Source organism: Homo sapiens, chromosome 7 (genome assembly GCF_000001405.40).
Source record: "Homo sapiens chromosome 7, GRCh38.p14 Primary Assembly".
In the NCBI taxonomy this organism is placed as follows: Eukaryota; Metazoa; Chordata; class Mammalia; order Primates; family Hominidae; genus Homo; species Homo sapiens.
Window position 1 is genome coordinate 135249022 of NC_000007.14, and position 24824 is coordinate 135273845.

A 24824-nucleotide genomic window follows, 5' to 3' on the forward strand; every position below is an offset into this window, starting at 1 on the left:
AACAGATGTGTTTACAGCCCCAAAGTGCCAAGCCCTGGAGTCTCACATGAAGAAAACGAAAGGAAAATACAGTCATGGGCTACATAAAGATGTTTTGGGCAACAACAGACCACCTATACAATGGTGGTCACATAAGATGATAATGGAGCATATATGGAAACCTGATATATGGCACTCGATATTGGCATTGCACATCAAGTAGGGTAAATAATTGATATTCAGTAATGGAACTTGGATTTTTGGTTTTCCATATGAAAAAATATATATAAATAAATATATGGGCTGGGCGTGGTGATGCCAGTCTGTAATTCCAGCATTTTGGGAGGCCAAGGTGGGTGGATCATCTGAGGTCAGGAGTTCAAGACCAGCCTGGCCAAAATGGTGAAACACCATCTTTACTAAAAATACAAAAATTAGCTGGGCGTGGTGGCGAGTGCCTGTAACCCCAGCTACTCTGGAGGCTGAGGCAGGATAATCGCTTGAACCTGGGAGGTGGAGGTTGCAGTGAGCCGAGATCACACCATTGCACTCCAGCCTGGGTGACAAGAGTAAAACTCTGTCTCAAAAAAGAAAAGATAAATATATGTATATATGCCATCTAGGTTTGCATAAATACACTCTGTGATGTTCACATGACAAAGTTGCCTAAGGACACATTTCTCAGAACTTATCCCCATCAGTAAGTGATGCATGACAGTATCTACCAAATGCCTGAGCAATTCTGCCAAATTTGACTGTGCCAGCACGAACACTTCCCCAGGAAGAACACATCCAAAGAGAAAACAACCAGAATCTAATGTCTCCAAATCATGGAAACAGCTTTTCTGGGTTTTTCAGGGAGGCCTATGGGCTGATGTTTGTTGGGTATTAAGGGAAGCTGGCAGCAGATTCCCTCAGCTGTGGCCAGAAGCAGGGCTCTGCCTGCACTGCTGTGCCCAGGTTTAGGCCAGGCCAGGGCTGGGCGATAAGGTAGGCAGAACAGAGAACTCCCATGCCCGAGGCAGGGACAAAGCCACAGTTACTCCTGCTGAGCAGTGACACCACTGCAGCCCCTGGTCCACCTGGAGAGGTTCTGCTGCAGAACTGTTGTGTTAGAGGCCAGCAGCACGGTCAGATGGGCCCAGGAGGCTCTGGAATGCTCCATTTCAGTTCAGACATGAGCTTCCCTGTGAGTGTGGTGGCACTCTGGAAAGGCTGTGGAGCCTGGTCTGGGGTCCCCTCTCAGGCTGGCTTGTGAGGGGGATTTGCACAGGTGAGCACAATGTGTGGCCTGCGACTTTGGTGGGCTGATTGCTTAAGGACAGGGATTTCAGTTCTGGGTCCCTGTTTCAGGCCTGCCAGGGAGCAACATGTAGCTGATAGGCTTCAGAGCTGATGGACACTGAAGCACAGGTCTTTCTGTGGCCCCTTTCCAGATCCTCTTTGAAATGACCACAGAGATATCAAGTAGAAGGACAACAGAAAATGTCCGGAAAACTAAGAGAGGGGCCAGAGTCCCAAGGGATTCAGTTCCAGGAAGTCAATTGAAGGAAGACAGAAAGGGCAGACACCAATCCTCTTGGAAGAGCTGTGTGTTGCAGGAAGGGAAGAGGAGAGGAGAGACCCTGGCGGAACCTGCCAGTACCTGCCAACTCAGGGTCAGAGAACTTCCTCTCCTCTCCTAGGCGTGATTGCCAGTGCAAAGGAGATGTCAGTTAAAGTAAAGCATGCCCAGTTCAATTTTTAATACAAAAACGTCCCATGCATGATTCAAAACATTCTTATACTAAAAATTATTCATTCTTTATCTGAAATTCAAAATGTAACTAGGCATCCCGTATTTGTATTTGCTAAATCTGGCAGTCATGTAAGTGTAAATCATGTTTCTGTAACATATTTAATATTCTCTAACACATTAGGGGGAAGCAGGATGAAAAACTGTCTAAATAGCAAGATTCCAAATTGGAAATATATATTATAGACCTAGGGAAGTGACTGGAGAGAATTAGATCAATGTGTCAACAATGGATATCTGGGTGGGATTGTTTCTCAGTAATTCTTATTTTCTTGATCTGTTTCTATTTTCCAAAATTTCCACAATGAACATGTATGTCTCTTATAAAGCAGATAATGTTCAATTATGTGCCAGGTATGTCTGTTATAAAGTGGATAATGTTCAAATGTAACTAGATACTTCACATACATTATCTTACTTAATTCTTGGAATAGCCCTATGAGTAGACACTAATGTGATTCCTGTTTTATAGAGGAGGATTTGTGAGATGAAGTAACTTGTCCCAGGTCACACAGCTAGCAAGGGACACAGGCCTGGGAGTTGGCCTGCCTGCAGCCTAACCCAGAGCCTTCCTGACCCTCTGGATTCAGCTGTCCTGGCATGAGACAGCTAGACTGGGGACCCTGGGCTCCAATAATCTGTGCGCCTTGGGAAGTTTTGATGAGGTTTTTCTCAGTGGTAAACTGAGGCTCTGGTAATTGCATCTCACACCTGAGCTCCCACCTTCGTCGGCAAGAGGAATCACAATCCCCATTTCTTCCTGTCCCTCACAGCCACCTCCAGGGTTGGCAGTTTGTCCTGGGCACTCTAGAGTTTAGCATTTACCCCCTAGGAAGAACAGCAAGCAGAGCCCCTGGGTGTGGGCCCCAGCTCTGACATGCATGCCCTCTGGGGTATGTGTAAAGAGAGAGCCTTTCCACTCATCTCTCCCCAGCAGCCCAGGGCAAGCATGAAATTGTCAAGTTATTTCCAACACATGAAGTGTTGTGCTTTCTTTCAGATCCTTTTTGAGGATGCCTTTGATGTGGCAAGCTTCCTGGACAAAAGTGAGGTTCCGAGTACATCTAGCTCCAGGTGAGGAAGAGGGTGTGAGATAGCATGTGCCCCTGTGTGGGTGGATGTGAGATTGTGTGTGCGCAGGTGTGTATGTGTGAGTTTGCATGTGCATGAATGTGGTAAGTCAGAGACAGAGAGAGGAGACAGAGGGAGAGAGAGAGAGTGTGTGTGTGTGTGTGTGTGTGTGTGTGTGTGCACCCCTGCTGGGGTGTTCAGGGGCCTCTCCTCTGCAGTCCCTAGATGGGTGTTGTATTAGTCCATTCTCACACTGCTACAAAGAACTACCTGAGACTGGGTAATTTATAAAGAAAAGAGGTTTAAGTGACTCACAGTTCCACAGGCTGTAAAAGAGGCATGGCTGGGGAAACTTACAATCATGGTGGAAGGCAAAGGGGAAACCTGTATATCCTCACATGGTGACAGGAGAGAGAGTGAAGGGGGAAGTGCTACACACTTTTCAAATAACCAGATCTTGTGAGAACTCTTGTCATGAGAACAGCAAGGGGGACATCCACTTCCATGATTCAATCACACACCCCCTCACCAGGCCCCTCCTTCAACACATGGGGATTATAATTCAACAGGAGATTTGGGTGGGGACACAGAGCCAAATCAGATCTGGTGCCTAATTCAGTGGGTATTCTTGGGGATCCACCTTTTTTCTGTGATTGGAAGTGAGCTGGTCCTAGGATTGTGTCATTGCCCTGGGGATGACACTATCTGTGGCATCTTCAGAGTAGAAAATTCTTCCATCCTGGCGCAGGGCTGGGACATACCAGGTTATCAGCTGTAGGTTGTGGAAACTCATCTGTTCACTTTGCACCCCATTCCCAGTGTGTGTTAGTCCTGCTAACCTCCACTGAGGGCTGCTGTATCCCTGCCTTAAGTCCATTATATACTAAATGCCATAGGCTGGATGGCTTATAAACAACAGAAATGTATTTCTTACAGTTCTGGAGGTTGGGGAGTCTACGACCAAGGTGCCAGCAGAGTCAGAGGCTCGGTTTTTCACAGACGGCACCTTCTGGATAAAATTCACATGGTGTAGGGGCAAGGAATCTCTCTGGAACCTCTTTCTTTAAAAAAATTTTTTTTTTTTCTAAGACAGAGTCTCACTCTGTCACCCAGGCTGGAGTGCAGTGGTGTGATCTTGGCTCACTGCAACCTCCGCCTCCTGGGTTCAAGTGATTCTCCTGCCTCAGCCTGCCGAGTGGCTGGGATTACAGGTGCATGCCACTATGCTCAGCTAATTTTTGTATTTTTAGCAGAGACAGGGTTTTGCCATGTTGGCCAGGCTGGTCTCGAACCCCTGACCTCAGATGATCCACCCACCTCGGCTCCCAAAATGCTAGGATTACAGGCGTGAGCCACAGCGCCTGGCTCTGGGGCCTGTTTTATAAGGGCACTAATCCCATCATGAGGGGCCCATCTTCATGCCCTAGTCTATGATCTCCCGGAGTCCCCCACCTCCTAACACCATCACCCTGGGGATTAGGCTTCAGCATATGAATTTCGGAAGAACACAATCCATCGGTCTCTAGCACCCAGGGCAGCTTGCGGGCAGGTTCTCCCAGCTGACCTGGAAGGAGAAGGCGGGGAGGGGGCTCTGGGGCACAGAGAATAAGGGCCAACATGCAAATAGGCATGGGCCCTGAGTTTAGGGGACTCTCTGAGTTCTGCAAAGGGGGGTTGCTGCTTTTCATGGTGCTGATGGGAACGGATATGGAAGGAGGGGAGAAAAGGATAGCTGACCCCATGAAGTGGGAAGACACAAAATAGGATGTGAAAAGATTTTAAAACAAGAAGCAGCGTGACTAACAATGTCCCAAAGGTGTGTTTTCTGAGAGAAATCCTTTAGGACTGAAATTCCCTTGCTGCTTTGCTTGAAAAACCTGTGGTCTTAGAGCCTGAAGGCACAGGTTCTTCAGATACCTGTGCTGCTATCATGGCTAAAAAGAATCCTGGACATTTATTTTTCTGCTTTGGGGGTGAGAGGGACATATCCTTGTGATCCCAATGAATATCTCATTGTCCTCTCAAGGGGAGCCTGGCCTATGGGTGCCTGTGAGGCCTTGGGGCCACAGCTGTCCCTAGTAACCCAGCTGGCCTTTCAGCAGAGCTTCAGGGAAACCACACATCAACATTTTCCCTCCATTCTCCCTGTTCCACCCAGGCCTAGATGGACTTGGGGAGAAGTGGGATTGTCAGAGGAGGGCTTTGTCCTCTCCAAATCGACCTTACAGAGTGACTCAAGTGCTTCTCAGCTGTGAGTGGAGTTTCATTTTGCTGCAATTGGCTGGAAGACACATTCCTGTTTCTGTGCTGAGCTTGGACTGCAAAGACAACCATCGAGAAGCTGCCAGCCTGTCCTTGCCAGGCAATATTCAGAACTCCCTGCCCTGCTGATGGAACAGAAAAACAACCTATTAAAAATGTTCCACTTCCCCTAGAAAAGTCAGGGGTTGCTGCCAGAGGGTTCCTCATCCCGGGAGGAAGTGAGGGCTGCCTGCTGACTCACAGTGAGTGAGTGCCAGCTGTCCTACAGACACACAGCCTCTGTGCTCTAAGAAGCCCTTTGAAGCAGGGTCCACATTGCAGGGCCTGGCTCTTAGCGGGCATTCCTAAATGTTGCACGAGCCCCTGCCACCTTTCCTAAAGGCTGAGCTAACTCATCATCTTCTGAGGCCCTGCAATAACAGTTGCTGTCAGCTTTTGAAGGATTTTCATGTCTGCTTCCAAACTGTGCTGCTTATGGTGACATAAGCTCGAGTCACACAGGGCTTCTCCCCTTGTCCCAGGCAGGCAGGAGGAAAAGAGCCTGCACAACAGGCCTCCTTTCTGCACCAGGGCTTGAGTTCCACGTTAGACCCACTGAGCAGTGGCAACTCAGTGAACTGAACTCAAGATGTGCGGCGTGCTCCAGAGCTGCCTCAGCAGCCACAGTGGAACCAGAACTGTGGGGGCATTCTGCAGAAGATTGAGGGATAGAGGAACTCTCGTTCCCTTGTTCCAGTGGCCACAGCTCAGAACACTAAATTAGGGCACAGGAGCCAGTCTCACCACAGTCTCGATTTTCCAGGGGATTCCAGACATGATATGTGAGCAGAGGTAACACAAACCTTTCAAGGAGAGGTCTGGGCTGTCTGAGAATTTACATGTGCTTGGTTCATACTGTAACCCAAATCTTTCAGGGGAGGGGGAAGCAGAGTTGAAAGATCAGGATCCTGAATATTTGTTGCCTTTTCTTCCTTTCTGTTGTCAGTTCAGTGCTTGCCAGCTGCAACCCAGAAAACCCAGAGGAGAAGTTTCAGCTCTATATGCAGATCATCAACTTTTTTAAAGGCCTTAGCTGTGCAAACACTCAAGTAAAGCAGGTAGGATGGAGTAGAGGGCCGTGGTACCTCTGCCCACCTTGCTTAGATAGCAAAAAGGGCTCTTAAGGGCAGCCCTAACCAGAACTCACCCCAATCATACCATGAGGAGCCACTGGGCAGGGACACTCTCCATTCTCTCTGGCTTGCTCCATGAATGGTCACCTTCAGCCTGATGCATCCTGTAGAATGAATGGAAGATAGCCAGGGAAACAGGAAAGACAGAGAAGTGTCCTCTAGGGCAGGGGTCCCCAACTCCTAGGCCACAGACCAGTACAGATCTATGGCCTGCTAGGAACACAGCTGCACAGCAGAGGGTGAGCATGACAGCCTGAGCTTTGCCTGCTGTCAGATCAGTGGCAGCGTTAGATTCTCATAGGCGTGCAGACCCTATTATGAACTGCTCATGCAAGGGGTCTAGGTTGCTCTCTCCTTATGAGAATCTGACTAATGCCTGATGATCTGAGGTGGAAGAGTTTCATCCTGAAACCACCCTTGCCCCCCAGGTCTGTGGGAAAATTGTCTTCCGTGAAACTGGTCCCTGGTGCCATAAAGGTTGGGAACCACTGCTCTAAGGCAGACCTTGACTGGGAGCCCTTTGAAGCAGGAACCCGATCCCAGGGGCCTGACTCTCAGCAGGCATTCATAAATGTTGTGTGAACCTTTGACACCTTCCCAAAACGCTGGGCTATTTCATCATCTTCTACAGTCTTCATCACCTTCGGTAATATTTGCTGTCAGCTTTTGAAGGATATTAATGTCTGCTTCCAAATTGTTCCACTTACAGTGATATGAGCAGTGGGACTCTTGGTTAGGAGGGCCATTCCTGGAAGCTTTTGTCAGAGAAGGGGGGTTATACCTGAGCCACAAGGGGACAGGTCCTTTCAAATTCATAGCCATGGATTTTTCTTTACTAGTTTAGCAATAATACAACTGTTTATTTAAAAGGTAAGTTATAATAATAGCAAATGTTTGTCTAAAAATAGTCAAGACACCTGTTCAATAGGCTAAGGTATAACTTGCCCTTTTCCAACTAAGTCTTCATTTCCTTCTTCTGGGACCACAGTGAATCCTTATGTGGAGCCCTTCCTTGCAGTTTGCTCTCCCCTTCCCACCAATCCTTGGGTGACAGTCCCCTGGACCAGTTGTCCCCTCTTTCTCTCAGATACAGTTAAATTAGCCCACTTTATCAAGACTTTGAGAATAGACGAAAAGGACAATCTTTGCCTCCCCTCCTTCTCCATATATGGCAGAAAAGATAACAAGCAGGGATTCTTGTATCCATACAAAGCAAAGGTATGGCCGGGTGCAGTGGCTCACACCTGGAATCCCAGCACTTTGGGAGGCTGAGGTGGGCAGATCACTTGATCCCAGGATTTCAAGACCAGTCTGGACAACATGGCAGAGCCTCACCACTACAAAAAATATAAAAATTAGCTGGGTGTGGTGGTACATGCCTGTAGTCCCAGCTACTCAGGAGGCTGAGTTGGGAGGATTGTTTGAGCCTACAAGGCAGAGGTTACAGTGAGCTGAGATCAAGCCACTGTACTCCAGCCTGGGCAACAGAGTGAGACTCTCTCCAGACAACAACAACAACAGAACAAAGCAAAGATGCCAAACTTCAGCACTCCTAGATTCCCGATGCCTCAGTGCTGCAAGAACGGGCCCCAGAAATCTGCATTTGGAATGAGCTGTCCAAGTGGCTCTGGGGCAGGAGGACTCAGGCTTTGATAGACTCTGGTGTAAACAGAAAAGTTGCATTCTCCTCCCAACCTCTGCCACTGTCTTCCTGCTGAACAAGGGGCCCACAAGATTTGCCTGGAGACTGTGGTCCCACCTCCCTGACACTCTTGATCCCTATTTCCCTGCCCCTATCAGGAGAGCATGGTGAATGGGAACTGCTTCTCCAGGGCAGGAAAGGCTCAGTTTGTGGAGGTCGTCCCCACTATGAGGATATCACCCTTGGGACCAGGTCCCACATTCATTAGATGGTTGACTGGGGTCAGGGATGCCACCTGGTTCCATGGGGATCAACTCTGATCTGCAGGGCTGACAAGTTACAGGGGTCATTTTCTGCTAGGATGGAGACAGACAGAAGGAGCAAAGCCTCAGGAACATATTTTTAGAGGAAGAAGTCATGGAGAGTCCTGAGGTGTTGGCTGGGATCACTGTTTACAGTGTCCCTTTAGGGACTGAGAAACCCTTGCTAAGCAAACAGTGCTGCTGCTTTTTTTTTTCACCCAGGATGGTGTGTAGTCATGGTGTGATCTTGGATCACTGCAACCTCTGCCTCCCAGGTTCAAGTGATTCTCATGCCATGGCCTCCCGAGTAGCTGGGATTACAGGCGCACACCACCATGCCCAGCTAATTTTTTTGTATTTTTAGTAGAGACAGCATTTCGCCATGTTGGCCAGGCTGGTCTCGAACTCCTAACCTCAGGTGATCCGCCTGCCTTGGCCTCCCAAAGTGCTGGGATTACAGGCATTGAGCCATCATGACCAGCTGCAGTGCTGCTGCTTAAAAAAATATCATCTCCTAATAGGTAACCCATATACATGGCATAAAATTTACAAGTTACCAAAAGATATACAATGGACACTTAGTCTCTCTCTCTTCCTTGCTTCCTACCCCATACCCTCCCCCAGAGGCAACTACAGTGACCAGTTTCTTGTACACTCATCCAAAGATATTCTACAGATATTATATATTCTTTCAAACACAAATAGTAGTAGCCTACGGTACACATTGCTTTGCACTTTGCCCTTTGTAAATAGTGTATCCCACAGAGAGCACGCTGTCTCATTATTTTTGTTGGAAATGAGCTGCATGGTGTTTCATTGGTGGGAGCACCGTGGTGCAGTGCACCGTCTTCTATTGATGAGCATTTGGATAAAGCCTTATGAGGTCCTCTGTCTCTCTTGTGGGAACCTGGAAATCCCCAGGATAAAAAAGAAGCCAGTTCTGCTGTGTCCTTTCTGGAGGTCATAGAATGCTGAGTTGAGTGAAATGGAAATGGGACCTTCCCCCCTTAGAGCCCTTGCTTCCTGGCCCAAGCTGGAGGTGAAAATGCAGCGGAAGAGACGTAGGATAGAGTCTGGGGGCTGGGCACACCGGAGATGCAGGAGCCTTCCTATCTGCCTCGGGCCCAAGACCCACAGATAAAAAGTGACCCTCTTCCACCCTGTGTCTTGCAGGAAGCATCCTTTCCCGTTGATGAAGAGATGATCATGTTGCAGTGCACAGAGACCTTTGACGATGAAGATTTGTAATGCAGAAGAGGAGCTGCGAGGGGAGGGACTGAATGAGGTGGGCAGTTCCCAAGGTTGAATGCTGGCAGCTAAGGTTGCACCTGCCTTGGCCTCCAGGACTCTTTGGAGTGGGTTGTTCCAGAAGCATTTTGATGATTTTAGTTTCTGATTATTATAAAGTATAAGAGAAGCACGGCCTCGTGTTGGTCTTTAGGGACTGTTTGGCACAAAGGGCTGGCCTGCTGCTATTGTGCTCCTATTAAGGGGGTAGAAAGTACAGCTGGGGCCCAGGCCATGGGCCTTTCAAGGAGGACAGGCAGGATCTGTCCTCGGAGGTGACATAACACCAGGTACTTTCAGCATGTCCTGGGCACAGGGCATTGCCCTGATGGGTTCTAGAGAGTTCCACAGCCCACCTGCTCATCCTGCACACTCTGAGAGCCAGGGGCAGTGCTGACCTCAACCCTGTGCCACAGGACAGCTGGGTGGAACCAGATTCATCTGCTGCTCCTGGTAATAAAGTCACCTGAACAGGAGCTACAGTGAGGTCCGAGGGTTCCGAGGGCTTTCTGGTGAGGCTTCTGGGCAAAGGGTGCATACGTGTACCTGGGCTTGGACACTGGGGGTGAGGGTGAATTTTATGTGTCAACCTGGCTAGTCTGTGATACCCAGGAATTTGGTCAAACATTATTTTAGATGTTTCTGTGAAGGTATTGTTAATGAAATTAACATTTAAGTCAGGAGACTTCCAGTAAAGCAGATGATCCTCAGAATGCTTCCTATAGGTTAAAGGCCTGAATCGAAAGAGACCGACCTCCCGGGAGAAAGAGGGAATCCTGCCAGCAGTCCAACTTTGGACTTGAACTGCGGCTCTTCCCAGCCTGCCGGCCCGCCTTGCAGATTTTAGACTTGCACCTCCACAACTGCATGGGTCCCTTCCTTAAAATAAATATTTCACCTCTCTCTTTCTCTGTATCTACGTATATACACATCTTATTGGCTCTATTTCTCTGGAGAACCCAGACTAATGCAGGGTGTGCGGGGAGAATGGGCTTGCATGGCTCTTTACAGTTTTCAAGGCATCATAGCAGCCCCTCCCCTGCACTGAGGCCCTCCCAAAGGCTTGGACTGTGTTATCTCCTAGCGAGAGTCTGAAACACCGGCTAAGTCTTAGGACCCAGACCCAGTCCTGTGTGACTCCAAAGCAGTCCTGAGATGCATGAGCCCGCACTCAAGGACTTCCCCCGGGGTGTGCAGGGATAGGAGCTTCGCAAGCCCTTCACAGCTTACAAATCACCGCACCGAGTGGGCAGAGGGAGGCTCTCCAGGAGCTGGGCAGGAAGGGCCTTTGTGCTCAGGGGCAGCTTGAACTCCTGCTGGAAAGACAGGAATGCAGGAGCTCAGGTTGGCCACCCCTAGAGGCTCACCAAGCCAGCTGTGTGGGAAAGAAGAAATGCAGCTTTACAGAGGGGCGTGCACATAGTAGGCCCTCAAGCAATGTATGCCAGTGCTAGCCAGCCCCTCCCTCTTTGTACCAAGCTCCACCCTGATCCTATTTAGTCCAAGGCTGCGACTTCATTCCTTGAGCCATACCTGCCAGCAGCCCCTAGTCAGAGAGGACCTCAGCAGGATGTGGAGGTGTCCCTTCCCCCCACAACCTTGTGCTGGGTTGTGAGCCCAACAGCCCTCTGCTTCTCTCCTGCAGCCTTGGGTATTGGCATAGCCTGGGATGGAGTTATTGCATAAAACTACCTTCACGTGGTTCTCAATCTCCCTTCCTCCCCACCAAGGACTTGTATCGGGAAGGTATCTTCCTATATCAGTCAGTACTGTAGCAATCAGAGTTCTGCAGAAAAACAGTGCCAATACGATATAGAGACACCGAGATTTATTTTAAGAAATTGGTTTATCTGTTTGTGGGGACTGCATGTCTGAAATCTGTAGGGCTTCCAGGAGGCTGGAAACTCAGGCTGGAGTTGGCAGTGCAGTCTTGAAAGAATGTCTCCTCCCAGAAACCTCAGTTCTGTTCTTACGGCCTTCAGCTAATGGATGGTGAGCCCCAATCACATCAGCAAGGGCAATCTTCTTAATTTAAAGTGGACTGGTTTGTTAACCACATCTATAAAATGCCTTCACAACACCCCCTAAAGGAGTGCCTGATTAGATAACTGGATACTATAGCTTGGCCAGCTTGACACATGAAACCAACATCACGGGTACCCCTTGGGGATTTTTATGTTGTTGTTGTTATAGCAGCTCCCTGTGGAGGTTGGGCCTCTGTTATTACTGCCATTTGACAGATGAAGAAACAATGATTTAACTGAAGCCCCAAACCATTTAATAGAAGAATCTCAGATCACCTCACCTCTAACTCTTTTTATCCCCAATAAGTTAATGAATGGGGAACAATTTTGTTGTTTAAAGTCACAAAAAAGCCCTGCCTCTAAAGAATTAGGATGTAGGAATGTGAAGCCAGCCCTTGGAGTTCACTCTGTCGGCCACTCTGTGCATCACCTCTAGGTGATGACTGGGAGGGGGATCATGGGAGGTCAAGTGGAGGCGGGAAGAAGCAAGATTGGAGGTGAAGGAGGGAAGCTGCGAGGCCGTGGCTCTAGGCACTGCATTATCAGAACAGGGGATTCAGATTCTGATAGCGACCTTGGAATGTGCAGAAAAAGCTCCAACAGATAAATGCTTATTGAGTGCAGATGGTGTGGGCGGGTGGTGGCTGGGCTGAGCTGACATCTAGCTTGGGTAACTCAGTTCCACCTCATGCTAATTGAATCAAGCTAATTACCCCAAGCCCATCTCGTCAATTACTTCTTATCCACCAGCTACTTCTCCAACCTTGATTCTGAACAAAACAAGCCTTTGTGCTTTTATGGAAATGTCAGAAATCTGTCCCTTCTTGCATATGCTTCTCACAAAGCTGCCTTGTTCCTGAAGCTCTGAAACTACGTGTTCTGACAATAAAAAAAAGTACAGCTGAGGGAAGACCAGGAGGCTGTTCCAGGAGAGGGCCTGGCTCTCTTCTCCTGCTGTTCATCCTGCTTTGGCTGCCTGGGGACAGCACGATACGAAAATAAAGTACAGGAAAACCCACTTGGAAAACTGAGCCTGGCTGCCTGGCAGCTGTTTGGTGAGAACATAGGGAATGTTCTGAAGTCCTGGAGCTGTCAACCAAAGGAAAAGGAACAAAGGGCAGAATGAGACAGGATGTGAAGGGCTTCTGTGGGCACAGAAGCAGTAGGGTAAGGAAAGAGGATGGGCCTGCTCTTGACTGGTATGAGAGGCATCCAGGACTCCTGGAGCAGCTAAGCGCAGGTCCTCAGCTCCAGCACATTTATTACAGCATGTTAGATGGGCGGGACCCTGTTACTTTAAGCCTACCATGGCACACACTCACAAAAGTCTCTTTTTAAGAAAAAAAATCTTTTTTTAAGATAGCAGAAATAACAGCAGGTGTGTATGCTGACATGCGTTACTGAAAGAAAGAGAAAACTTGATGCAAGATAGGAGACTTGTCGCAGTGAAACCCTTGAATAGAAATCAGGGAATGGGCTCTGGAGCACAAGGGGAGGAACCAGCTTCAGGGAGGAGCCAGGCAGCTCATTCACCCAACAGGAGGGAGAGTCAAGGGGCACCAAAGCTAGGAGTGGAGACATGCAGGTGTTTGCACAGTTTCTCATCTGATTACTCCTTTACAGATTTCTCTGAAATAAGAAGCTGAGGTTGGGTATGGTGGCTCATGTCTGTAATCCTAGCACTTTGGGAAGCCAAGGCTGGAGGACTGCTCGAGCCGAGCGGTTCAAGACTAGCCTGGGCAACATGACAAGACTCTGTCTCCACAAAGTATTTTTTAAAAAATTAGCAGAGTGCGGTGGCACATGCCTGTAGCCCCAGCTACACGGAAGGCTGAGACAGGAGGATCCCTTGAGCCCAGAGGTCAAGACTGCAGTGATCTGTAATCGCACTACTACACTCCAGCCAGAGTGACAGTGAGCGTCTCAAAAAAAAAAAAAAAAAAAAAGAAGAAGAAGAAGACAGAGGTGGAAAGAGTTTTAGCAGAGAGAGCCTTGTGCTTGGGAAAGGGTTCCTTCCTGCCAGGCGGCACTGAGGATCCCGTGAAGTTCAAAAAAAAAAAAAAAAAAAGAAGAAGAAGACAGAGGTGGAAAGAGTTTTAGCAGAGAGAGCAGTGTGCTTGGGAAAGGGTTCCTGCCTGCCAGGCGGCACTGAGGATCCCGTGAAGTTCAGGGTCTGAATCTAAAACCACTCCATTCAACTGTATGTTTTCCCCAGAGATGCTCAACTGCACGAGTGCAGGTGCAGAGTGAAGAGTTATTTCTCATCAGCGTTCAGGTTTTGCCAAGAGAGTGTAAAGAAGAGAGCAGACTAAGGGCGTTGCAAATGCGAGAAGGTGGTTATTATGACTGACTGTGGCATTGAGGTTGCTCAAGGAGGGAAGAGGGGACCAGCGGAAGGTGGGAGGACGGTAGATTCAGATCCTGGCCAATTAAAGAGTTATTAGACTTGGGGGACTAGAAGTAGTGAGCTGGAAAAATAGGAGGTGGTGGTCAGACAACTGCTTGAAATTGAGGATTGCAGGCACAGCTACTGGGAATCCCCAAGGCTAGTCTGAGATGTGGCCACAGAATGAGTAACTGAGATGAGCAAAGTCACACAGGATTCTTTCAGTGCCACTTCACCAGCCAGAAACTTCTGTGACCAGTGGCGCCTCTGACCAAGTTTTGCTCACAACTGCTGGGCTGGCTCTGCCTACTCAGCCCAGCAGGCTGTCCTCAGCTTGCACTACTGGCCCAGATCCCATTCCCATCATGGGTGAGCCAGGCGCGGAGTAGTGGGAGGTGTGTGAGTGAGCACAGGGTCCAGCCACACCACAGAGCCAGGTGCACCAGCTGCTGCAGAAGGGCAGGCAGCTCCAGGTGTCAGAACCATGTGAGGCTGTGGCTGGACCAGGTATGCCTCAAGTGGCTTCCACCTTGGGCACTGGCATCCCAACAAGGGGAACGCCGTGGTGCCTGAAAACTCAAAGACACCAGCAACCGTGGAGCTGCAAGAGGGTGTTACAGCATGTCACAGCTCTGGCTTGGGGAGCCCCAAGGTATGGGCCCCCAGAAGGGTCACAGATCTTCTCTTGTAGTCTGGCAAATAAGAGCGTGTCACTGCCCACAGCTTGGCAGGCTGGGCAGGAATGTGTTTCAGCTTGTTCATGTTACCGCTCATTCGGTCCCAATGCCCCACTCTAGCCCATGGCTCCTGGGCTGCTGGTCTGGTCACACCAACACTTCCTGTCATGTGGGGCAGCCATCCGGTGCCAGTGGAGGGTGGGACGGATACAGTGCTACAGCTCCTTTCACGCCAGTCCTTTGGTGGGCTCTGGGTTCTTGTTCTGCATCCAAGAAAAATAAGGTTATGCAGACAACCAGAGAGTGAGCAAGGCAGAGAAGAGTTTTATTGAGTGACAACACAGCTCTTGACAGGAGAGAGGACCAAAAGTGAGTAGACCCTACCCAAAGGCAGGTAGTCCCAGTGTGTGGCTGAGTCTGGGGTTTTTATGGGCTCAGAATGGGGGAATGTGTGCTGATTGGTGTATGGGCAGGCCTGGAAAAATCACCATTGGATTGGCTAAAAGGTAACGAGGGGCTAGGCATGGTGGCTCATGCCTGTAATCCCAGCACTTTGGGAGGCCGAGGCAGGCGGATCACCTGAGGTCAGGAGTTTGAGACCAGCCTGGTCAACATAGTGACATAGCTGTCTCTACTAAAAATACAAAAATTAGCCGGGTGTGGTGGCATGCACCTATAGTCCCAGCTACTTGGGAGGCTGAGAGGAGAATTGCTTGAATCCAGGAGGCAGAGGTTGCAATGAGCCGAGATCACACCACTGCGCTCCAGACTGGACTACAGAGCAAGATTCTGTCTCAAGAAAAAAAAAAAAGTAACAAGGAAGTTCTCACTCCAGCTTGTGGACTCTACCTGGAACTGGCAGCCCAGTTTTCAGGCTTAAACAAGGAAGTTCTCACTCTGGCTCATAGACTCTACCTGGAACTGGAGGCCTGGTTTTCAAGCTTTAAGCTGTCTTTGGTTTGAAGGTCAGGCTTCACCAGGGATCTGCCCCTGTCTGTCTAGGAATTTGTCTGCCTCCTGCTGCTATCAAAAGGGCCAGATCATGGAGCTCAAGGAACTAGAAGCCAAGGTGTGGGAAGGATGAGCTCTGTGGATATGAAGTCTCCAACTATGAAGACAAGAATTTTGGAGACAGGAACAGTGACCAACACACTAACATCCTCAGAGAAGGAGGGTTGGTCTGTAGATGCCAACAACAAAAAGGTGCATAGGTAGAAAATCCAATGGTGTGAGGTTCAAAGCAAAAGCACAGTAGAGATGTCCTGTAGGATCTGGAATTAAAGTTCTTCCCCATTCCTCACTATCCTGAAGTAAAGTACTAGTTTTGTTAGTCAGCTTCCAGTAGAGTTTTGCAAAGGTTACATTTCACATAAATATGTTATCTAACTATGTAACAAAAAGAAAAATGTGTAGAGGAATGGCTTACCACAGATTACATAAAAATAATTGTCGATTTTTGCATGGGCTAAGACTGCAAAATGTCTCCTAAGAACAAATTGGATACATTATGTAATCAACATAAAATAGGAAAGAAAAACTTCTTCAAAAGAGCAGAATTTGTTTAGAAACTTCACTAGCAAGCGGTGAAAAAAAATACATGACTTTTCGTCAACTAAGTGTATACATAAGGAAGATATCTTCCATAAAAGCAAGAGTACTGTGGACTCTGGGCAGTGTGTTTAAAAATGTGAAGTTAAAATTTAAAAAAAAATTTTTTTTGAAGGCTGGGCATGGTGGCTCATGCCTATAATCCCAACACTTTAGGAGGGGAAGGAGCGTAGCTTGATCCCAGGAGTTGGAGACCAGCCTAGGCAACATAGCAAGACCCCATCTCTCTATTTAAAAAAATAGTAAATTAATAAAAGTGTGAAAGTGACCATGTAACCAGGCTTTGATCTCTGTGCCCACCAATTTCCCAAAGTGTAGAAAATCTTCAGGCTTGTTTTCTTAAGGAAGAGCTGCCATACTATAAAGGAAATGCTATGATCTGAATATTTGTGTCCACCCAAAATTTGTATGTTAAAATCCTAACTCTGATGGTATTAGGAGGTGGGGGTCTTTGAGAGGTGATTAGGTCATGGGCAGAGCCCACGTGAATGGAATTAGTGCCCTTACAATCAAGGCCCCAGAGTGATCCTCCTCCCCCTCACCTTGTGAGGTTACAATGAGAAGGTGGCAATCTGTGAGGAAGTAGACTCTCACCAGATCTCTCAGTGCCTTCCTTGATCTTGGACTTCACAGCCTCCAGAACCATAAGAAATAAATTTCTGTTAAGCCACTCAGTTTTTAGTGTATTTTATTATAGCAGCCCAAACAGACTAAGACAGTAACCAATACAGTAGTTCCCCCTTATCCTTGGGGACCACATTCCAAGACCCCCAGCAGATGCCTGAAATCAAGGATAGTACCAAACCCCTATATAGACTATGTTTTTTCCTATACATACATACCTATGACAAAGTTTATGAATTAGGCATCCCTAATAACAAGATACCCAGCAATAAAATGCAACAATTATAACAATATCGTAATATTTTCAAGGGTTACCTGAGGACAAGCACTGCAGTGCCTCGACGGTCAATCTGATCACCAAGACAGCTACTAAGGGGGCGGGTATCCTCCACAGCATGGAGATGCTAGACCAAGAAATGATTCGAGTCTTGGGTGGGAAAGAACAGGATGGTGAGAGATTTCATCAGGCTACTCAATTTAAAACTTACATATTATTTATTTCTGGCATTTTGTATTTAATATTTTTGTATCTCAGTTGACTGCAGGTAACTTAAACCAGGGAATGAGAAACTAAGGATAAGGGGAGGCTACTGTATAGGATTTTTTATTTTTATTTTTATTTTTATTTTTGAGGTAAGGTCTTGCTCTGTCACCCAGGCTGGAGTGCAGTGGTATGACCATGGCTCACTGCAACCTTGACCTCCCGGGCTCAAGTGATCCTCCTGCCTCAGTGTCCTGAGTAGCTGGGATTACAAGTACACACCACTATGCCCGGCTAATTTTTGTATTCTTTGTAGAGATGAGGTCTTGCTAGGTTGGCAGGACTTCTCTCCAACTCCTGAGCTCAAGCAATCTTCCTGCCATGGCTTCCCAAAGTGCTGGGATTACAGGCATGAGCCACAGTGCCTTGCCCTGTATAAGATTTTTAATTAAGGACTGTAGTAGGCTGAATAATGGCCCCCAGAGATATTTATGTCCTAAACACCAAAACCTGTGAATGTCACCTTCTATGGCAAAGTCCCTTCTATGGCAAAGGGACTTTTGCAGATATATTAATCACTACATTAAGGATCTTGAGATGGGGCGATTATCCTAAGTTAACTGTGTGGGTTCCAAATGTAATCAAAGTGTCCTTATAAAAGAGAGGCACACAGGTCAAAGGAAACAGAAGATGGGACAAGGGAAGCAGAGGTGGGAGTATTGTGCTTTTAAGACGGGGAAGGGGCCACAAGCCAAGGAATGCGGGCCCCTTCTAGACTCTAGACACTGGAAAAGTCTGGGAAATGGATTGTCCCCTACAACCTCCAGGAGGAAGCAGCCCTGCCCACACCTTGGTGCCCCTGTAAGACTCACTTTAGACCTCTGAGCTGCATTTCTTCCAGGAATGTATACATTTGTATTCTTTCAAGACACGCAGTTTGTGGTCATTTGTTACAGCAGCCATAGGAAATGATGACAGGGACAAGAAAGATAAAGTCTTCAAGCCCGGCACTTACAAAACTTCCTTGCATAGAATACTCTGACCTACCATTGTCCTCCCTGGGATGTTTCTGGTAGAGCCAATGGAAGGCTGTGTTTTTCTTTTGCCTTTGCAATGACAGTGGAAGGCTAGGAGGGCATCATCCTCAGCTGCAGCAGGAGAGGATGAGGTCAGCAAGCAAGGAGAAGCAGCAAAGGGAGGCAGAGAGAGACAGGCAGGAGAGAAGCCTAGGTTCTTATCCTTCAGGCCCTAGTTCTTCTACCTCTCCCAGTTTCCTTCCTTCCCAGCTGCAAGAACCAACAAATCCCACCCACTTCCCATTTTTTTAGTTAAACTTTTCTCATTTGCAGCCAAAAGGACTCTGACTAATTATGCAGAGATCTCTTGTGTGGCTCAGCAGAGAATTTAGAGGCTGTGACCATCTTCTGATGGCTGTGCTGGGGCAGAGCTGGGGGTGCCGCAGGTACAGCACTCTACAAGAGCCTGCCAGGTCACAGGGATGCCAGGCTTCAAGGACCTGCAAGATCCTCCCTTTCCTTTAGGATCCATCTGTGAGTCAAAGTTTTTAAAGGTATTTTCAGCCTGGATCATCTTTGGGGATATTATCTGTCATGCTCCTGTTTCCTTTTATTTACTTCTCACTCAACTCCCAAGCACGCAGGCATGACTACTCCTATAATATTCCAGGATCTAGGACTCGCTGGGCAAATTCACTCACTGGGCATCATTCAGGATTGTTCTTAGAAGTATTATTATCACTCTGCTCCATCATATTCTAGAATTCAGCTGTATCACACTCCTTCCCCTGCTTCACTTCTCGCCCCCTTAAAGACTGAAATTCCTCATGCTCAGTGACACTCCTCCTTCCTCCTGGGTCCACTGTCTCCGGAAGGACAGCAACTAGAATTGTTCCAGGAGACAAAAAATGTCTGCCCTTCTCACTGAGGTGCCTGACAGTCAGTGGTGGGGACATCAGGGCATTGGTCCAATGCACCCCAGGACTGGTCTTCAGGGTTGGCCACTCTGAACCCATCACCCAACACAGAGGGTCGGAATAAACATCCCTGCATGTGTGTGCTTGAAACTGCACACGCCGAAGTCATCTCCCTCTTCCTTGTCAATTCCTCCCCTTTGGCTCCTGTTACCACCACCCTGCAGAACTGAAGGGAATCTGGCATCACGTGGATCTCACTGTGCGTTCCCAACTCTGGCTCACGGTCTCAGGACGCCTCCCTTAAGAAATCCCGCTGATTTACTTTCCCACCTGGAGAAATGCTCCCATAGCATATCCCAAAGCCAGGTCGTAAGCCCCTCCTCCCCACCTGGTGACCCCTCCCATTTCCAAGGTCACTCGGCATGAAAGGCTATTTGAAGGTTTTATTGAAGGAGCTCTGGAGGGAAAGGAAGAAGTCTGAGACCACAGTGAGAGCATCTGTGCCCTTCATAGCCCTGCCTCCCCATACACACCCATCTCCATGGGGTCCGCACTCCTGATGTGTTCCCTCCCTGAGAGCCGGGATGCGCAGCTTTTAGATCCGCTTAGTTACAGACATTGCACTTGGTGGGCCCCCACTGCTAACACACAAGAATACACGCACTTGCCCCTCTCCGAGCACACACACCCTTCCCGCCCATTCTGATGGGAGACGGAAAATCACCAAGCCTTGGAAAGTAGGTTACAGGGACTGACTTCCCCACCCAATGCCAAGCAGCAATGGGTGAATGGCCAGTATGGAGGGCAGAGGAGCCCCTGCTAGAAGGGGCTCCTGGAACAATTGCAGATGTTCCCCCTTCCCCCATCCCCACAGCAACATGTCTCCCCCTCTTTTTCCCCAAGGAGAGGGTTTGGCCAAGCCAGGAGAGAGCTCCTGGTGGGAGAGGAGGTGTTGAAGGAGGGCATGGATATTTTTTCTTGCTAGTAGGACCCAGAGTCCATCAAAAATTAGTCAGTGAGCCTGGGAGGCTGAGGCTGCAGTGAGCTGTGGTCATATCACTGCACCCCAACCTGGGTGACAGAGTGAGACCCTGTCTCAAAAAAAAAAAAAAAAAAAAAAGAAATCCAGATTGAGTCCCCTACAGAAACAATGGAAGATTCTGGAGAAGCCCAAAGCAATGGTGAGCTCAACTTCCCAGCAGCCTGCAGTCTACTCTGGTAGACAAGTAGTCTAGAGTCTGAGCAGGCTACATCCGGTCCTGCCACACCTGGACTTAGCCTCCTTGGCCCGCTACCCCCTTGTCTACCTGGAAGGGCTCTTCAGTCCCCACCCCATGACTCCTGAAGGGGAGGCTGAAGAGCAGTGGGAAGGCAGGGCCAAGGGACATGTGTGGACAGAGCAGGGGACAGCAGTGTGTGGTGACACCACAGAGGACTGCTGGCTATGTGTTCAGCTTTCCTTCTGCTTGGGTAGACAACACTGGGCCACAGTTCCCTGAGCTGGATGAGGCTGGAGCGGCAGGGATGTAGAGGAGGGGCAGAAGGAGTGGGGGTGCCCCTTACTGCTCCCGAACACCAGCCTGGTGGAGTGGGCCCAGAGGGGGAGGGGATGGAGAGGCCAGCAGGACCCTCTGCCTCTTTAGAGAAGAAGAGAGCCGGTCTTGTCACCTTAGAGCCAGTGGCCCCATGTTTACCCCTGCCCTACCTCAGGCCTGCCCTACCCTGCCCTACCTCAGGAGCGAGGTGAGTCCTACCGGGGATGGTGTTGTCTAGAAGAAAACCCAGAAATCCACTGATGAACATGCCCATGGTCAGCAGCATCTGAACAACCTGGGCCGGCTGGAGAACCCCTGGAGTGGAGACAAAAGCGACACATCCATGGGGACCGGGGGCTGCGCTGGCTCTGCCCCTGGAGCAGAGACAGTCAAGAGGGCAGGGAACAGTCACCTGTCTGGAGCATCTCGGGGTTTTTGCTCACCCGGTTGGGAATGGTGAGCCCACAGTAGATGGAGAAGCCAAAGGCGAAGAGGCTCCTGGACAAGTTCATCTCCACGTACTGCGGGAGACAGGACCTAGAGGCAGGCGGGGCCATCAGCACCTTCACTGCTGGTTTGCAGAGGTCTGGATGCTTCTGGCTGTTTCTTTGCTCCATTTAGGGGCCAGTGTGGTATCTGGGACCCAGGACTGACTTCTCCTCCTCCCCTGCCCCAGCCCCATCCATCTCAGTCCCATCCATCTCAGTCCCACCAGCTCCTCTCAGGAGAGGCACTGCTGCTGCCTTCCCAAGAGCACCTCGCTCGCCTCACCTGCAGATTGGAGATCCCCACGGCAGTGATGACCCCAAACAGGGTCATGCCTCCGATCACGGGGGTGGGGACATGCCTCCGATCACGGGGTGGGGATGGTGGCAAACGCAGCCCTGATCTTCCCAAATGCGCCCATCAGGAGCAGCACACGGCCCGCGGTGACAATCACTGCCCTACTCCCCACCTGCAGCAGCCAGGGACAGAGAGTGAGGAGCACCAGCCAGGCCAGGCGCCCCCGGAGGCCTCTGCCCACTGCAGGAGCAGCACCACCTCATCCCATACCACTCCCTCTGCTCCCAAACGGGGCTTGGGAAAGGATGAAGGTGTACGCTGGGCACACGGCCTGTGCCCTCACCTCATCACTTCTGTCTTCTCTCATGTCTTCAGGTCCTGGCTCTGATGCTTCCCTCCCAGGAAGCCTGGACAGCAAGGCCAGGGAAAGCTCACCAAGGAAGAGCGGCCCAGCGCTTCAGAATGGAGGTTTGAAAGCCAATCCCAGCTCCGCCTCTAACTAGCTCTGTGACTTTGGGTGCGTTACCTAATCTCTCCGAATGTCAGCCTCCACGTGAGCCACAGGGGATTGATAACACCTACTTCACAAGGCTAAGTCCTGTCACGTAGGTGAAGTGCTTACAATAGTAAGCACTGAGCATAGTCGGTGCTCAATAAAGGGCAGAGGTTTTTTGCAAGGGATAGAGGTGTAAAGTTCTCGTGTATGATGCTACGTCTCTGCGGGCGGCCCGTGCTGTTATCCACTCAGATCATGTGTTTCTATTTCCCCACCAGATCTATTCCCCAAAGACAGGAATCTCGCTCATTTTGCCTCCTGTAGCCGCACCTTGACCACAACACTCCTGTGGCCATACGCACCTGATATGCACATGTTTAATATATCATAGAGGGCCAGAGCAGGACGGAAACCTGGAGGGTGCCTTGTTCAAACCTCTCATTTTACAGAAGAGAAAATCAAAGCCCAAAGAGAGGGAGCAAGGGGCCCAAGGCCACAGGGTAGTCACGCTTGCATAACACCAGGTCTCCTGTGTCCAGCCTGGCAATTAGTACCCTGAGGTTTTTTTTTTTTTTTCTTTTCTTTTCTTTTCCAGAGATAGAGTCTTGATCTGTCACCCAGGCTGGAGTGCAGTGGTACCATCTTGGCTCACTGCAACCTCCACCACCCAGGTTCAAGGGATACTCATGCCTTAGCCTCCCGAGCACCTGGGATGACAGTCACGTGCCACCATGCCCGGCTAATTTTTGTATTTTTAGTAGAGATGGGGTTTCACCATGTTGGCCAGGCTGGTCTCGAACTCCTGGTCGCACGTGATCAGCCCACCTCAGCCTCCCAAAGTGCTGCGATTACAGGCATGAGCCACTGCACCCAGCCCCCCGGGTTTTGTAAACAGCATTATGAGTTCACAGACAGGGTGCTTGATTTACACCATATCTATTCCATATCCATGTTGCCTGTGACTTTGTCAATGGAGGTACTATTATCTTCGGAAGAGACAGATACCAAACAGCCAGGCTAATAAAGAAGGAAGACAATTTCTGATAGCAATCAGTCTTCCATAATGAAGTCACAGGGCAGGGGGTGGCTGGGATGGGAGGCTCTTTGGAGGGCAATCAGAAAAGGCCTGCCCAGGAGGTGAGAGTTTGGCTGAGACCCAAAGGAAGAGAAGGAGTCACGGACATGAAGATTTGGTAGAAGAGAATTCTAGAGAGGAAACAGCAAATGCAGACTCTGTGGTGGGAGGAGCTTGGGTGGTTTGAGAGCAAAAGGAAAATCATCGTGCCTGGGGCCCAGTGACACAGGGAGAGGGGGAGGAGATGGGATGTCCTGCAGGGCCTTGGGGGCCATGGAAAAGAGTCAGAATAAAATCCAAAGGGAAGGCATAAGCAAAACATGGCATACTCCTACCATGGAATATTATTCGGCCTAGAAAAAGGAGGGAAATTCTAGTACACATTACAGCATGGATGAACCTTGAAGACATTACGCTGAGTGAAATGAGCCAGTCATAAAAAGACAAATCCTGTAAGGTTCTACTCATATGAGGTACCCATAGTAGTTAAATTCACCAAAAGGAGAATGGTGGTTGCTAGAAGCCAGAGGAGGGAGAAATGGGAACTTGTTGTTTAATGGGGACAGAGTTCTAATTTTTCAAGATGAAAAGAGTTTACAAGATATATGGTGATGATGGTTGCATAATAATATACATGTACTTAACACTTCCCAACTGTACACTCAGACATGGTTAAGATGGTAAATTTTATGTTATGTGTATTAAAAATAAAAAATCCAAAGATGAGAGAAACCCTTGGTAGAGGAGTTTTAAGCAAGTTAGTGACATAATGAGATTTGCATTTCTAAAGCTCCCTCTGTAAAATGTTTCATTATTATTATTATTGTTTACTTATTTATTTTGAGACGGAGTCCCACTCTGTTGCCCAGGCTGGAGTGCAGTGGCTCTAAAATTTTAAGTCTTAAAAAAAGACTCCTGACTTTAAGACACTTGGTATCATTCTCCAAAGTTAGGGCTATTTGTAAATGTTCTTGTTTGAATATCTTATCATGACTCTATTGTCAATGGATTTTTTTTTTTTTTTTGAGGCAAGATCGCACTCTGTCATCCAGACTGGAGTGCAGAGACATGATCATGGCTCACTGCAGCCTCTACCTCCAGTGCTCAAGTGATCCTCCTGCCTAAGCCTCCTGAGTAGCTGGGACTATAGGCATGTACCACCATGCCTGGCTAATTAAAAACAAAAATTGTAGAGATAAGGTCCCATGCTGGTCTTGAACTCCTGGGCTCAGCCTCAAGCAATCCTCCTGCCCCAGCCTCCCAAAGTGCTGGGATTACAGGTGTAAGCCACAGTGCCAGGCCACAGTAGATGATTTAGATAGTTCTTGAATCTGTTTCTCATCCATTTGTGTCTACTCCCAGCATTTAAAACAGTGGTCCCCAACCTTTTTGGCACCAGGGACAGGTTTCATGGAAGACAATTTTTCCACAGACTGGTTGGGGTGGGGGATGGTTTCAGGATGAAACTGTTCCACCTCAGATCATCAGGCATTAGATTCTCATAAGGAGCAGGTAACCTAGATCCCTTGCATGTGCAGTTCACAAAAGGGTTCACGCTCCTGTGAGAATCAAATGCTGCCGCTGATCTGACAGGAGGTGGAGCTCAGGAGGTCATGCTGGCTTACCCACCACTCACCTTCTGCTGTGCAGCCCAGTTTCTAACAGGCCACAGACCAGTACTGCTCTGCAGCC

General features: G+C 48.8%; 1 protein-coding gene and 1 long non-coding RNA gene across 6 annotated transcripts in view, besides 1 other annotated feature; one reads left to right on the forward strand and one right to left on the reverse strand.

Annotated features, from left to right (window-relative positions):
* Positions 1-9642, forward strand: part of STRA8 (stimulated by retinoic acid 8) — a 26749-nt gene extending 17107 nt beyond the window's left edge. For all 4 annotated transcript variants that reach the window (NM_182489.3, NM_001394401.1, XM_011516137.3 and 1 more), the window contains 3 exons: positions 2775-2848; positions 6093-6204; positions 9397-9642. In NM_182489.3, the coding sequence (NP_872295.2) occupies positions 2775-2848; positions 6093-6204; positions 9397-9471 (261 nt within the window). In that variant the 3' untranslated portion in view covers positions 9472-9642. The remainder of the gene's footprint in view (positions 1-2774; positions 2849-6092; positions 6205-9396) is intronic.
* Positions 1512-1662: a silencer, noted in NCBI's record as "fragment chr7:134935285-134935435 (GRCh37/hg19 assembly coordinates)". NCBI's record gives its function as "represses an EF-1alpha promoter that drives an FKBP-Casp9 reporter gene in an ReSE screen in HepG2 liver carcinoma cells and K562 erythroleukemia cells {active_cell/tissue: HepG2 | K562}" and the evidence as "EXISTENCE:reporter gene assay evidence [ECO:0000049][PMID:32094911]".
* The window catches only part of LOC107984123 (uncharacterized), a 60858-nt gene continuing 44725 nt past the window's right edge, over positions 8692-24824 (reverse strand). Inside the window, exons 4-6 of one of the 2 annotated variants that reach the window (XR_007060540.1) lie at positions 20998-21093; positions 17145-17256; positions 8692-14860 (exon numbers count right to left, since the gene is read on the reverse strand). This is a non-coding gene — a long non-coding RNA (uncharacterized LOC107984123). The remainder of the gene's footprint in view (positions 14861-17144; positions 17257-20997; positions 21094-24824) is intronic. The other variant, XR_001745376.1, reaches the window with a different exon arrangement.